The following is a 13,726-nucleotide window of genomic DNA, read 5'->3' on the forward strand; positions in this document are numbered from 1 at the left end:
CTCAAACTCCTGGCCTCAAGTGATCCACCCACCTCGGCCTCCCAAAGTGCTGGGATTACAGGCGTGAATCACTGCACCCGGCCTTGCACGCACTTTTCTAGATCTTCTGCTGTGTCCAGTGTCAGAGATGGACCTCAACACTGTGTGAGTAACTGGGCCTCTGGGAAATGCAGCTGTCTCTTCCCAGGTTTTCCATTTTAAAAACTCTGGTCCTTTTATTTTGCTAATTGGGAAATTTTGGGCTGATTAATAGGAGATGGCCCTGTGGCCCAGCCAGAGCCAGGATTCGGATACAGCAGAGAGGGTTTCTAGGGCAGCCAGAGGGTATGCCTGCAGAAAGGCAGCAATGAGCCTGTCCCCAGCTTCTGTTGCAGGGTGACCTTGGACTAGCTTCCCAACCTCTCTGAGTCTAGGTCTCTTCATTTGAATTAATCCCAAATATCCCTACCTTAGGGGGACAGCCAGAGTGGAACAGCTGGCAGACTCTCCCCACAAACACTATGGATTCAGGCAGGACGGACTTCAAATTCAAACCCTGAGTGACCCAAGGCACCCCCATCACTTTCTGGCCTTGGTCCCAGCATCTGGAAAAGTGAGGCACCGCCCACCACAGAAGCTGCTGGGAAGATCAGACAGTAGGCTATCAGCGTCCACAGCTTGGGGTTGTTGGCTGAGGCAGAAGAATTGCTTGAACCTGGGAGGCGGAGGTTGCAGTCAGCTGAGATTGCACTACTACATTCCAGCCTGGGCGACAGAGTGAGACTCCATCACACACACACACAAATAATAATAATTTTTAAAATAAATAAATAAAATTTGCATTTGATGTTCCTTGACCTACCTATTGAGGAATATTGGAATGATGGACACTTTTTAGCGGTGGATGGGCTTAGATTCAAGTCTGGGCGCTGATGTAAACTTGCTATTTTGTGCGAGACTCCTGGCCTGTCTGAGCCTCAGTTTCCTCATCTGTAAAAGTAGGGGGTGACAATGGGCATCAAGAACCCAGCACACGGTAGGTTCAGACATTAGTCCTCTACTTTTTATCTGGCTCAATATAACCAGAGGGTCCAGCCTTGATTTTTACCCACAATTTGGCCATAGAAACCTGAATATCAGGCTCCCCTTCCCTTCTTGGTGCCACAGCCTGGCCCAGCCACACCGATGCAAGAACAAAGGCAGTCTCCAGTCTGAAGGTCCAAGCCCCACAGCAGGGAGTTCCTGCCCCCTGGTGGCCAGAGAAGGAACGGGTAGCCTAGTGTGGACCCCAGTGGCAGCCTGGTAGCCACTGGGCTTGATTTGGGGAAGTCACTAGAGCTGGGTCAACCTCTGCTCACTGCCCTATCCTGATGGCTGGGCCAAGAGCAAGTCTCTGCCACCCTAGGTTGATAAGGGGCTTCTCAAGACCACAGCTAACACCTCCTGAGAAAAGCACAGCATGGCTGCTCAGACCACCAGCTGGTGCTCAGTTCCTTGAAGAAAGGACTCAGTTCAAGTCTGAAAGTTGTTGAGGGTGGGGCGGTAGCATATACATATTTCTATCTCCAGAGTAACAGCAGAAGTGTGAACGACTCACCCAGCAGCATCTAGGAGATGTCAATGCAAAGCCAATCGCACCAGCAATCACACACCAAGAACATGCTCCAAATACACAGGAGAGAGCTTATCCTGGGGCAAGGGAGGAAGCCCCCCACCCCCAGCTCCATCCCTAAGGCCTGTATGCCTGCACTCACTCAGGTTCCCTTCCCCAGCAGCAGCCATCCCCACGGGGCGCTGGGGTGAGCGAGCGTGACCTCCAGGCAGCAGCTCCAACGACCTGCATGGGCTGAGCCCCTCTTACCTCCCTGAAGCTCTGTCCTTCCCAAGGGTTCCTTAACCCCAGGGCAGGAATGGCCCAGCCACCAGGAGGCCACACAACACACCCTCTCCTCTCATCCCCAAACCCATCACCTCCCACCCCCACCACATCCTGAGAGATCCAGAGACCAGCCTTGTCACACAGCCCTGTCACACAGCCATCAGGGCTGGGCAAGGCCAGGGCTCAGGAGTAGCTCAGTCATTCACCAGCAGCTCCACTCCAGGGGCTTCTCAGTAAATGGTCAGTAATGTGTTAGCTTTCTCCACACTGGGTCCCCCAGCAACCTCTCCCCCCACACCCAACACATATACTTACTTCCTGATTTTCAGGCCCTCTTCATTGTCGGGGAGAAAAAATTCAAAAGATTTGTAGGTCTTGACCACGTCCCGGCGATACTGGCCAACATTGAACTCTGGAGGGAAGGAGAGGCTCAGCTTTCACAGCAACAGCAACCCCTACCAACCCTGACCTTGACCCAACCCCAGGCCAAATAATAGAGAATAGGCCTTCTCTATTCTCTTCGTCATGCCCCACAAAGCTCCCCTTAGACAGCTGGGGCCAAGCCTCACCCCGAGTGGGCACACCAATCCAGTTCAGGTATCGAGTCAGCTTCTTGGAGATGTAGGTCTTGCCCCTGGCGGGCAGGCCCACCATGACAATGAGAGTTGGGCAGTTGGTCATGCACACTAAAAGGCAAGCAGCACAGTGTCAGATGAGGGCTGGGACCCTCCCAGCGCACCCCTCCCTCTCAGCCTGTGGTCTCTCAGCCTCAGGGCATGGGACTGGCATCAGACGTATCTTCTTGGCTTCCTAGCATCCCCACACAGCTCCTGGAGTGGCCCCAGATGCTGGTTTCAAGCCACCGTTGGCATGTCCCCCTTCCCCAGGCCCGCCTGGGCTCTGGCAGACACAGTGGGATCTCTCCAGCCCTTTTCATCCTGATGTGCACCACCAGGCATAAAGTCAACCGAACTTGCCACTGGCTAAACATGGCTAGGGGGGTCCCCACCGCATGAAGGACAGGACCAAAACCCAGCAGGGTAATCAACACCCTGCCTCTGTCATCCAGGAATCCATACCCTAACCTTTTTACATCTCTCCCACCCCATCCATCACTCAGTGCTCCCAGAACACATAGCCCCACTGCATGCCCTCCCTGTGGTGAACTTCTTTTCATCATACAAAGCCCAGCTAAAAAGTCACTTCCTCAATGAGTCCTTTCCCCAAGGCATCTCCATGGCCACCGGGAACACCCCTCACCCTCAATCCTGGTCACCTCACTAATGACACTCTTCTCTCTAGACTGATCACTTACAGCAGAAGAAGCCCTGTGGTATCTGAGCCCTTTAGGGCCCTGGGGCCTGGCACAGCGCTGGTGCTCAGGAACTGTGGGCAGGATCAGGGAGGGAGGCATCTAGAAGTCTCTCAGGGTAAGGACCACAAGGGGTTGAGACCAGAGACCCAGACTGATGCCCACAAGGACAGTCCCTCTGATAGCCCACCCACCACCATCCATGTGCCACAGGTCAGTGTGCCAGCCAGAGAAGATGCCAGGCTAGAGGCACGGAAGGATCTGAATACAGCCCCCTATATTCCCAGCTGGCTAGAACAGATACCAAGGCAGCAGAACTGCCAGCTTCATCTTATGGGACCTAGCTCACTTTTCTTTTTTTTTTTTTTTTTTTGAGACGGAGTCTCACTCTGTTGCCCAGGCTGGAGGGCAGTGGTGCGATCTTGGCTCACTGCAACCTCTGCCTCCCAGGTTCAAGCGATTCTCCTGCCTCAGCCTCCCAAGTATCTAGGATTACAGACACCTGCCACCACACCTGGCTAATTTTTGTATTTTCAGTAGAGACGGGGTTTCGGCATGTTGGTCAGGCTGGTCTCAAAACTCCTGACCTCAGGTGATCCGACTGCCTGGGCCTCCCAAAGTGCTGGGATTACAGGTGTGAGCCATCACCTCCAGCCTTCTTTTTTTTTTTTTTTTTTTTTTTTTTTTTTTTTGAGAGGGAGTCTCGCTCTGTCGCCCTTGCCCAGGCTGGAGTGCTGGAGGACACTGGTACCCAGCTCACTGCAACCTCTGCCTCCCGGGCTCAAGCAATTCTCGTGCCTCAGCCTCTCAAGTAGCTGGGATTACAAGCACATGCCACCACACCTGGCTAATTTTTGTATTTTCAGTAGAGACAGGATTTCATTATGTTAGTCAGGCTGGTCTCGAATTCCTGACCTCAGGTGATCTGCCTGCCTCGTCCTCCCAAAGTGCTGGGATTACAGGCGTGAGCCCAGCCCTCAGCTCAGTTTCCAGTGCCATCAAACGCGGTCTCACGTCAGAAGCCTCAGGAAGCTTCCTTTTCCTCATCCTTAGGACCTGGGTCAGGTAAAACCATAGCAGACAGGCAGATGAACAGATGTGGGGACCTGTCACTGCCCCTCTTCTTGGTTCTGCAAGTGCCTTCACCTGGTTGCCTAGACAGACTGTCCCCACCAACAAGTTGTTTCCCTCAGAGCACAGAGGCCCCAGAAGCACTTCCGCAGGGGATCAGGAGTCAGGCCTGGGTTGCCATCTTGAGTCTGACACTCATTGGGAACTCTGAGCCTCGGTGTCCCCAGCTGTAAAATGGGGCAGTCATCCCTCAGAGAAGCCTAGTGCTATCCAAGAGCCTGGGCACTTCTGGGAAGCTGTGCCCTCTGTCCTACCCTGGCGGATACTGAGCTAAAGCCATAGGTGTACCTCGGCACCGACTGCCCTTGGGACTCAGGGCATGGAGGCGGTGGCCTGGCCCCAGGCAGGCCCTGCAGAGAAACAAAGGGCCTTGCTTGCCAGTGGGGGCTCCATCACTCCTGTGCATTCCCCTTGTTTAAAGGTGACCCAAATGGTGAGCCTCAGGGGCGGGAAGGAGGAGACCCCATGAAACAGGCTGACTGAGTGAGAGTGGAGAAACTTGCAGAGAACTCTCAGTATTAGCTAAGGTGAGAGGAAAACAAGTTAGGCAAGGCCTTGCCTCCTCAGGGCCGGTGGACAGCTGAGGCCCGCATTGTGCATTGTTTGCATAGTTCCCGGCCAGGTGGCCGGGCTCTCAAGCAACCAAGGGCAGTGCGACAGCTGCTAAGCAGGAGGAAATCCTGCATCTACCCTGCTCCCGCTGATGGGGCCACCCCCCAACTGCTCCTTCAGGGACTCCCAAAACCTCAGGACTGGGGATCTGCACCCCCTCTCCACATCTCCTATTTTCCCAGAGACAGCTCCAGCCTCCTCCCATGGCATTTGGTGGCATTTCCCTTCCCGCCTTCCACCCACATGCGCAGCACAAGGTGGGCAGGCAGGGCAGCAAATCAGGCCTGGGTGCAAAACAAGGCAATAAATTACCTATCTCCTCTGCTCCCCAAGATAAGCTCCCAAGGAAATGACCCAAAAGAAAACCAAAGTTCAAGTGTATCACAACAGCTCTGCTTACCATAGCAAAACACTGGGAAATTCCAGCCATAAGAAATTGCCAACTGAGGCACAACAAGGAGGGAACACATTGCAGCTCTCAAAACAGAGCACGTGGACTAAGCGGGCTGGGTGCACGGCTGCACCTGTGGCTCTGAGCCCACAGGACCCTGACACTGAGCAAACAGGATGGTAGAATACACTGTTTATAGCTGGGCGTGATGGCACATGCCTGTAATCCCAGCACTTTGGGAGGCCGAGGCAGGCAGATCACCTGAGGTCAGGAGTTCGAGACCAGCTTGGCCAACATGGTGAAACCCTGTCTCTACTAAAAATACAAAAATTAGCCGGGTGTGGTGGTGCACACCTGTAATCCCAGCTACTCGGGAAGCTGAGACAGGAGAATTGCTTTAACACAGGAGGCAGAGGTTGCAGTGAGCCAAGATTGTGCCACTGCACTCCAGCCTGGGGGACAAAGCAAGACTGTCTCCAAAAAAAAAAAAGAACACACTGTTTATAACATTGAGCATGTGCGGAAGGAAATGTGAAGACATGTCAGCCCAACTTCCCTCATGGGTTCCTTTCCTGTAAATTCGCTGCAGGCCCCATGAGCTCTAGGAGCGAAGGGGCCCAAGGGGCCTGAGACGTGCCTGGCAATGGGCAGTGTCTATGTTCCATTACTTCTACCCAAGGAGCAGCCACAAGTCCCTGGAGGGGGTGCCAGAATTGACTCCTGAACTGCAACTGCTCTCACCTCCTTAGGCCAGGCTAGGGAAGGAAGAGCTCTTTAAAATAAAGTAACGTGCCATGGAGGCCCTTTTCAGAGGGGACTGAAAGTCATCTCTCCTGTTGCCCTGTGCACACACCAGTCATGTCCTTACCCAGGAAGAGTCTTGCCACCTTTCAGCTGAGAAAAGCCATCAAACACCGTCCTTTCTGCAGTCCTTCTTGAGTCAGCTCTTGCCCCACCTGCCCTCAGAGTTCCTCCAGGTCTGAGCTCGGAGGCCAATGATGGGAAAGGTAAAAGCCTCCCAAGCCCTCAGGTGTGGCTTTAAATTTTATCAAGCGGGGGCGTGCCTGTGGGAGTGGAGGAGGTGCAGTACATCCCTCAGTCCACCAGCCCCTAGTGCCCTGAGGAGCTGGGGACTAGACTCCAGAGAAAACCCAGTACAAAGCACAGACCAGCAGTGGGTCCTGCTTCTTCCTCCCCACAAAGCCCTGGGACCAAATCCGCTTCCATCCCCACCCACACCCTCCGGGTCCAGACTGTCCTTGCAGTCACTCAACCTACAAGTCTACTATGCAAAGGGTAAAGTGTTGCCCAAATGCAGGCACTGGGAGCTGGAGGTGCTGCATGGGCGGGTTCCATGTTCATTCACTGCTTACCCACTCCCTGCTGTGAACCCTGAGGCCCAAATCCCCAAACAACCTGCAGGTCTCATCTTTGGCCTCTCAGGTGCTACCTCCTCCTCCAGGAAAAAGTGCGGACCTAGAACCCAGCCTACCCCAACACCCTGAGACACCGTGATGGCACGAGCCCCTCAGCTCAGGCCAGAGCCACATTTCAGTTCCACACTTAGAGCCTGGAGAAACACAAGCCCTGCCTCAGGAGCTATGAGACCTTCCCATTGGGCCTCAGCTTCCTCTCACCTGTAACGGGGGTTGGCTTGGAGCTGATGCATCAATCCCTGACTCAGACGTAGTGAGAAGCAAAGAAAGAATGGTAGTGATGACAGAATACCCTGCCTCCGCTTATTGAGGACCTACTCCTTAAAGGCTCACAGACTTGGCTAGGCATGGCAGCTCATGCCTGTAATCCCAACACTTTGGGAGGCCAAGGGGGGCAGATCATTAGAGATAACGAATTCAAGACGAGCCTGGCCAACATGGTGAAACTCCATCCTACTAAAAATACAAAATTAGCCGGCCATGGTGGCGCATACCTGTAATCCCAGCAACTTGGAAGGCTGAGGCAGGAGAATTGCTTGAACCCAGGAGGTAGAGGTTGCAGTGAGCTGAGATAGGACCACTGCACTACAACCTGGGCAACAAGAGTGAAACTCCGTCTCAAAAAAAAAAAAAAAAAAAAAGTCCAGGTCCTCACTCCTTTCCCCTATGTAGTAATAGCAGCCACCCCCCTAAGTCAGGACCACACAGCCCTAATAACACAGACTGGCTCAGCCTCCCCGCCTCCAGAAGAGTCTCAAAGGAGGGGTGGCCATAGCCCTCAGGACTGAGTGTGCATTATAGACAGCACAGCCCCACCAGGACCTACATCACAATCAAAGCCATGAGTTACCACGACTTGGTCTGGTCAGAAACATGGCCTTCCCCTGCCAGGACTCACAGTGTGGCCAGAAATACACACACCCTTCCCCCAGGACTCATATCATGATCAAAGCCATGGCTCCAGGCTGCTGCAGCAGGATGAGCACAAAGAACTCTCCCCTTGCTTATCATACATAAGCAGAGGCAGGATCACAGGGAGACCCAGGCATGTCACTCAATCTCCTGATCTCCATTTCACTGTCTGTTAAACTAGATGTTCTCTGAGGTGCTGGACAAGCTGCAAATTCATTACAATGTTTCAGTTACTCCTAAAACAAATCTTTCTTTTCCTGGTAATAAAAAAGTTGCAGGCCAGGACCCACGCCTGTAATCTCAACACTTCGGAAGGCCGAGGCCAGAGGATCCACTTGAAGCCATGAGTTGGAGACCAGCCCAGACAACATAGCAAGACCCTGTCTCTACAAAAAAAAAGAAAAAAGAAAAAAAAAAGCTGGGTGTGGTGGCGCACCTATAATCCCAGCTAATCGGGAGGTTGAGGTGGGAGGATTGCTTGAGCCCAGAAGGTCGTGGCTGCAGTGAACTATGATCGCGCCACTGCACTTGCTCCAGCTTGGGCCACTGAGCGAGACTCATCTCTTAAAAAAAAAAAAAACTGCCAGCTCATTTAAGGACAGGCAGAAACTCAAGGAAGCGGTTTAAACACCTGGGACCCTAGGAGAGGTGAGCCCCTTAACAATTCCATGAATTTCAGCATTCTCCTAGCTGTTTCACTCTCCAGTTTTACTGTACACCCATGACCCCAGGTGGATACTTACATGTCCCGGGACACAGACACAGGCCCACACGGCATACTTTTCTGTCTCTATCCTGAGCACATCTCTGCTGAAGTTCCTGCCCAAGCTCAGCTTTAAGGCCAAGAGGCACCCTTCCTCCTGTTGGAAAACTAGCCCACCTTTGAAAGTTCTGGGCTCAGAGAGGCCAAGTAATTCACCTAGGGCCACACAGCTCAGTTCCAGTCCAACAACCCGGCCCACACTCCTTGGCCAGGAGAGAGGGAAGGGCCTGGGGTGCCCACAGGGTCCTCCCCAGACTGGGGGCGATGGGGATTGGAGAGGGAAGCGAGGGGGCCAGAGCCCTCCCCGAGGTGATGGTGGCCAGACCTAGCCACCGCCAAGCCGATATGCCCCCACACACCTGTCCCCGCCCCCTGCTCTGCCACACCTGTCTCTGGCCCACCACTGTCACGACCGCCTCACCTGTCCCCAGCAGCCTCCCCAGTCACGGCAACCTCACCTGTCCCCGGTTCCCCATCTGTCTCCCGCCCCTTCTCCATGCGAGACCCCCGCCCAGGCCGCCCTACCCACCCATCCCGGTGCACCTCCCACCTCCTCCCAGAGGACCCCGCCTCACCACCGCGCTGGCAAGCGTGCAGAGCGGGCCGCCCATTGCTGTATGGCATCCAGATCTTCTTCAGGGGGTTCTGTGTCAATTCCCGTGGGGACGCCATCCCGGGGCCGGGATGAGTCGGACTGCGCCGCTTCCAACCCAGCAGCCGGGCCACCTCGGGCCACCCGAGGTCCCGCCCCTTGGGCCCCGCCCCTCCTCAAGCCGCGACAGCCCATGTCTATCTTCCCGCAGGTCCCGCCCCAGAGTGAGTAGGCTCCGCCCCAGCTGAAAGGGGCCCGGCCTCCGACCACGCATGCCCAACTCACCTACCCGCCCGTTTTGGAACAAGTGGGCCCAGTTCTTCAGGCCAGGATCGAGAATGCGCATGCTCAACTCCGGATTGTACTGGTCCCGCCCCAGTTCAAGGCCCGGATTGTGCAGGCCCGCCCCGGATGCGCAAACTCAGCTCTCCCAACCTGCCCGCGCTGATTTGCATAGGCCCCACCTACGGGCTCCGCCCTGGCGCTGCATCCCTGAGCAGCGGCACGCGTGAATTCTGCTACCTCCTTGCTAGGGAGCCCAGGGCCCCCAGGAGGGAGGGGTTTTCATGCAGTGGGACGAGGCCTACGTGACCCGCACGGCCAGGTTGGTCAGAGCCGACAGGGGCCAGTAGGCCTGCAGTCCCAGCCGTCAACTCCGCTGCGCCCTCCTGCCCCTCCTCGGGGTCCCCCTTGACTGCTCCGAGCCCCGGGACTCTTCCGCCGTCCATAGGAGCATGCTCAACCACGCTGGAAAAGCTCTTTTACCTCATGGATAGAGACTCAAAACACATTTCAATATTGTTCCTCTTTCTTTGCTTTGGCTGCTGGGAGCAAATGCGTGGGACTTTTTTTTTTTGAGACGGAGTTTCGCTCCTGTTGCCCAGGCTGGAGTGCAATGGCGCTATCTTGGCTCACTGCAACCTCCGCCTCCCGGGTTCAAGGGATGCTCCTGCCTCGGGTTCCCAAGTAGCTGGGATTACAGGCGCCCACCACCACGCCCTGCTAATTTTTGTATTTTTAGTAGAGGCGGGATTTCACCACGTTGGCCGGGCTGGTCTCGAACTCCTGACCTCAGGTGATACGCCCTCCTCAGCCTTCCAAAGTGCTGGGATTACAGGCGTGAGCCACCGCGCCCGGCCGTGCGTGGCACTTAGTAACCAAGTACTTTGGGTACTCACTAAGCCCTGGGAGTATCTTAATCGTCTTTCCAGAATTTCATTTTTTACAATTTTTTTTTGATTTTTAGTATTTTGGTTTTTTTAACTAAAGTTTTACATATTTTTTGAAAATAATATGTTAATAACATTTTCTCTTCAGGAAAATGGGATGTGCACATTGTCTATCTTACAGTATTACAGTATAAATTAAGTATGTCAATCTCTAAGAAATTCATTTTAAAATACGTTATGGTTGCCTTTTACTATATTTGTATCTCCCTCTTGTCTTTGAAAATGCACTGGGGACAAGGAACAAGGGAGAGATCCAGAAGTTCCTAAACCCCTGGCTCACTTTCTTGTTTGGCCCCCACCGGACTCCTGCAGTTTCCCGCCTCCTCGGGATCCCCAGCCCCGCCTCTCCAAGCTTTGTACACTCTCTGCCCCAGCCCCCACCAACACGGCTTCAACCTGAGCCACACTGCCCTCTAGCGATGTCATCCACAACACCCCTGGCAGGTGCCCTGCATCCTCAGGTTCTCTCTGCCCAGTGTGTACCCAGCCAGGAGCCAGGTGTTGAGGGCATGGGACTGGCAACAAGACTGGCCTCGTGGGCTATAGGTGTAGCACCCCCTCCCATGCCCTCCCTGCCACAGCCCTGCCTTGGATCAGTCCAAGTCCACCCAGCTCTTTAAAGCTTGGCAAGGACCCTTAAGATGACTGACACAGATGTCTTGCCCACTTCATAGGAACTGAAGATTCCAAAGGTCCACATGCTGGAAGCCCATCTGGACCCTCCCCCAAACCAGCTCTAGCTGCTTGCCCTGGGAACACCCTGCCCCAGGCAGAGTCAACAACTTCCTCCTTCCTCATCCTCCTTTTGCAGTATCTACCCGCTTATTCCTCCACCCCAGTCCCAGCAGATCTGAGCACATCCATGGGCGGCTCCTGATGAGCTGGGTGCCCCTCGTGACCTGCTCCCTACTTCTCCAAAGCCACTCATTCTGTTCGTGACACAGCCAGCCCTCTTGTCTTCTGGCCACTGCCAAGGCCATCTTGGGGCCACCGTGGCCTCTGAGACCTCATTACCACATGCCCACACCCTGTCTAACCCGCAGCACTCATTGCAAAAGCTATCTCCTCTGATATCTACAGACACCCAGCACCTCCTCTGGCCTGTCCATTCTCTTCCCAGACCTCCTGGGATGCTAATCAAGGGCTGGGGGTAGAGGACAGCTGGCCTGGGCAGGGGGCCAGGGCTATCTCTGGGAAGGCATCCTCACACCCAGACAGGATGAGCCTGGTTCCCAGGAAATGCAACAGCTCTGCACCTTCCTCTCTTCCCCAGAAAGTCTACCCGTGGCTGACCCAGGCACCCTCCTTCAAGGCCCTATGTCCAGCTGGAAGGCCACAGGTCAACATCAGGAGATGCCTGGGGTTCCTCCCCAAGGCCACCGTCCACATCTGCTCTGAGGATATTCTCCATCTCCCCTCCCATGGCCCTGTTTGTCAGGTGGGAAACTGAGGGTCAGGAAGAGGGAGAAGGGTCCAAGATCACAAAGCGAGTCCACAGTGCAGCATGGACTCAGCTCAACTCCCAGCCTTCCAGACCTTGCCTGCCACACTACAGTGGAATCGCACAGTCCACCTTCACATGTGTGCTCCCACTCCCCTGTGTCCTCTCCATGGAGATGCTGTCCCAGCGTCTGCTCTCTCAGCATCAGCGGATGCCCGGTAGAATCTCTGGCCCTCATGGCTTTTTCCTCCTCAGTATATCCGAAAGTGAGCCAGCTGTTCTGTCCCAGGCGTGGGAAGTATGCTGGGATGTCTGTACACACGTGTGAACATGTTCTGCTCAGCCTCTGCCCACCATGAACCTGGCTGGCCTGACCCTGGTTGGCTCCCAGGGTGCCCTCTGCACTGACCACTGGACTTCCTCCCAGTGTCCCAGCCTAGAAGCCATGTGGTGGCCAGTTCTCAAAGCTCAAACTCTTCCCAGTCCCTGTATCTACTGGCCAGTCCTGACAGAACTGCCAAACCATCCCACCACACACACACACACACACACACACACACACACACACACACACACACACACAGTCTCGCTCCTGTTACCCAGCCTGGAGCACATAGTGCAATCATGGCTCACTGCAGCCTTGAACTCCTGGCCTCAAGCGATCCTCCCGCCTCAACCTCCCAAAGCCCTGGGTTTATAGCCATTAGCCACCACATCTGGCCCACAAACCACCCTTTGCAGCATAAAGACCCAGGGGTTTCAGTGCATGCCACACAGGCCCACACACTGATGCACACAGAGACACTGGCACAGCTGCACATGCACACACAGACGCACACACACTCACAAGTCCTGCACCCCAGCATGTGCAGAGACAGGCAGGCTGCAGTGGGGCCTGCTGCTCTCTGCTGCCTCCCTTCCCACATATATCTCTCCACCCCCAGCCCTGCTGTCCACTGGGAGGTTCAGGAGTTTCCAGGAATTCCAGCTTCCTCTGGCCATTTCCAGCAAAGGATTGTCCCCTGTGTCTCCCTGGGCCCAGGGCTCACAAGGAGTGTGAAGTTCTGACTTCAGGTTATAGAACCATGTCACCAAGCAGCCTGGGAACCCTGATCTGCACTTCCTCCTTCCAGCCTGCCACAGGGCGTACAGTAGGTGCTTAGGGATTCAGGACCAGCAAGGGCACACAGAAAGGGTTCAGAGAGGTTCATGACCAAACTGAGTACACAGCAGGTGTTCAGAGAAGCTCAGGACTGGCACAGGGCACACAGCAGACACCCTAGAAGTGCTGGTTTAAGGGCTAAAGCCACATCATGTGAAACCCATCCTAAATGAGCCTCTAGACTTCCCCAAACTGGTGTGACCCCAAGAGGAAACCTGGACAAACATGATCCCTTGGAGGCCAGCAAAGAGCAGAGCAGGAGGGCCTGGGCAGCGCCAGCTGGCGGTCCCTCCCCCTGGGCTGGAGGAAGACACTATTTATAGTTCCCCCTTGGCCCAGCCCCCTCTCCCTTGCAGGGCGACAGTTTTCCCCCTCCTTCGGGCCACTGACAGATGAATGGCCCTCAGAGCACCCCTAAACCAGGAGAGACCCCCCAACACTCTCGCACCCCTCCAGCACCACCCTGACTTCATCCAGGTCTTTCCCTAACCCTCCACCCTCCCCACGCTGTCCCGTGCCTACCCCGCCTGCTGCTCCCCGGCCCCAGGTCGGTCAGGGAGCTGCCTCCTAACGAGCCTCTGTCCATCCTGCAACCAAACTGGCCAGGGCCACTGCCCCCTGCAGCTCCAGAGTGGGGTAACCCCGCCTAGCACTCTGAAGAGAGAGAAGCGACTCCTGCGGCTCCTGCAGCCCCGCCTCCCCAGCCCACTGTAGGCCCGCCCCCACAGGGCTGCTTACAACTGTGAGGGCAGCGCCAGTGCCCCCACTCCAGTCAGCCGGCCACGCTGTGGCCAGTACAGTCTCCCTCTCCCGCCAGAGCTGCCCATGCCACCCAGCGTCTGCCTTCATGTCCACCTAGAGTTGTCTGCACAGCCCAGAGTGCCTGC

At 55.2% G+C, this 13,726-nt stretch overlaps 1 protein-coding gene and 1 non-coding gene across 18 annotated transcripts in view, besides 8 other annotated features; both read right to left on the minus strand.

Annotated features, from left to right (window-relative positions):
• PFKFB4 (6-phosphofructo-2-kinase/fructose-2,6-biphosphatase 4) overlaps nucleotides 1–13,726 on the minus strand; it is a 45,453-nt gene that overhangs the window by 30,007 nt on the left and 1,720 nt on the right. For 4 of the 17 annotated variants that reach the window (NM_001317135.2, NM_001317137.2, NM_004567.4 and 1 more), the window contains exons 1-3: nucleotides 8,991–9,113; nucleotides 2,428–2,544; nucleotides 2,174–2,270 (exon numbers count right to left, since the gene is read on the minus strand). In NM_001317135.2, coding sequence (NP_001304064.1) covers nucleotides 2,174–2,270; nucleotides 2,428–2,544; nucleotides 8,991–9,087 — 311 coding nt within the window. In that variant the 5' untranslated portion in view covers nucleotides 9,088–9,113. Of the gene's footprint in view, nucleotides 1–841; nucleotides 970–2,173; nucleotides 2,271–2,427; nucleotides 2,545–6,172; nucleotides 6,320–7,234; nucleotides 7,254–8,395; nucleotides 8,544–8,990; nucleotides 9,114–9,292; nucleotides 9,411–13,361; nucleotides 13,440–13,726 lie in introns of those variants that run through there. The other 13 variants (XM_017006615.2, NM_001317134.2, XM_017006614.2 and 10 more) reach the window with 9 other exon arrangements.
• Nucleotides 2,271–2,331, minus strand: MIR6823 (microRNA 6823). Its single transcript, NR_106881.1, has one exon. It is a non-coding gene; the product is annotated as a microRNA 6823 (primary transcript).
• Nucleotides 2,742–3,405: an enhancer, noted in NCBI's record as "H3K27ac hESC enhancer chr3:48587865-48588528 (GRCh37/hg19 assembly coordinates)". NCBI's record gives its function as "activates a minimal SCP1, AML or CMV promoter by ChIP-STARR-seq in naive H9 embryonic stem cells {active_cell/tissue: H9 hESC(naive)}" and the evidence as "EXISTENCE:reporter gene assay evidence [ECO:0000049][PMID:30033119]".
• Nucleotides 3,406–4,067: an enhancer, noted in NCBI's record as "H3K27ac hESC enhancer chr3:48588529-48589190 (GRCh37/hg19 assembly coordinates)". NCBI's record gives its function as "activates a minimal SCP1, AML or CMV promoter by ChIP-STARR-seq in naive H9 embryonic stem cells {active_cell/tissue: H9 hESC(naive)}" and the evidence as "EXISTENCE:reporter gene assay evidence [ECO:0000049][PMID:30033119]".
• Nucleotides 4,068–4,731: an enhancer, noted in NCBI's record as "H3K27ac-H3K4me1 hESC enhancer chr3:48589191-48589854 (GRCh37/hg19 assembly coordinates)". NCBI's record gives its function as "activates a minimal SCP1, AML or CMV promoter by ChIP-STARR-seq in primed H9 embryonic stem cells {active_cell/tissue: H9 hESC(primed)}" and the evidence as "EXISTENCE:reporter gene assay evidence [ECO:0000049][PMID:30033119]".
• Nucleotides 4,732–5,393: an enhancer, noted in NCBI's record as "H3K27ac-H3K4me1 hESC enhancer chr3:48589855-48590516 (GRCh37/hg19 assembly coordinates)". NCBI's record gives its function as "activates a minimal SCP1, AML or CMV promoter by ChIP-STARR-seq in naive and primed H9 embryonic stem cells {active_cell/tissue: H9 hESC(naive and primed)}" and the evidence as "EXISTENCE:reporter gene assay evidence [ECO:0000049][PMID:30033119]".
• Nucleotides 9,516–9,605: an enhancer, noted in NCBI's record as "active region_19835". NCBI's record gives its function as "activates an Ori minimal core promoter by ATAC-STARR-seq in GM12878 lymphoblastoid cells {active_cell/tissue: GM12878}" and the evidence as "EXISTENCE:reporter gene assay evidence [ECO:0000049][PMID:35858748]".
• Nucleotides 9,736–9,825: an enhancer, noted in NCBI's record as "active region_19836". NCBI's record gives its function as "activates an Ori minimal core promoter by ATAC-STARR-seq in GM12878 lymphoblastoid cells {active_cell/tissue: GM12878}" and the evidence as "EXISTENCE:reporter gene assay evidence [ECO:0000049][PMID:35858748]".
• Nucleotides 11,576–12,517: an enhancer, noted in NCBI's record as "H3K27ac-H3K4me1 hESC enhancer chr3:48596699-48597640 (GRCh37/hg19 assembly coordinates)". NCBI's record gives its function as "activates a minimal SCP1, AML or CMV promoter by ChIP-STARR-seq in primed H9 embryonic stem cells {active_cell/tissue: H9 hESC(primed)}" and the evidence as "EXISTENCE:reporter gene assay evidence [ECO:0000049][PMID:30033119]".
• Nucleotides 12,573–12,712: an enhancer, noted in NCBI's record as "active region_19837". NCBI's record gives its function as "activates an Ori minimal core promoter by ATAC-STARR-seq in GM12878 lymphoblastoid cells {active_cell/tissue: GM12878}" and the evidence as "EXISTENCE:reporter gene assay evidence [ECO:0000049][PMID:35858748]".

This window comes from Homo sapiens, chromosome 3 (assembly GCF_000001405.40).
Source record: "Homo sapiens chromosome 3, GRCh38.p14 Primary Assembly".
In the NCBI taxonomy this organism is placed as follows: Eukaryota; Metazoa; Chordata; class Mammalia; order Primates; family Hominidae; genus Homo; species Homo sapiens.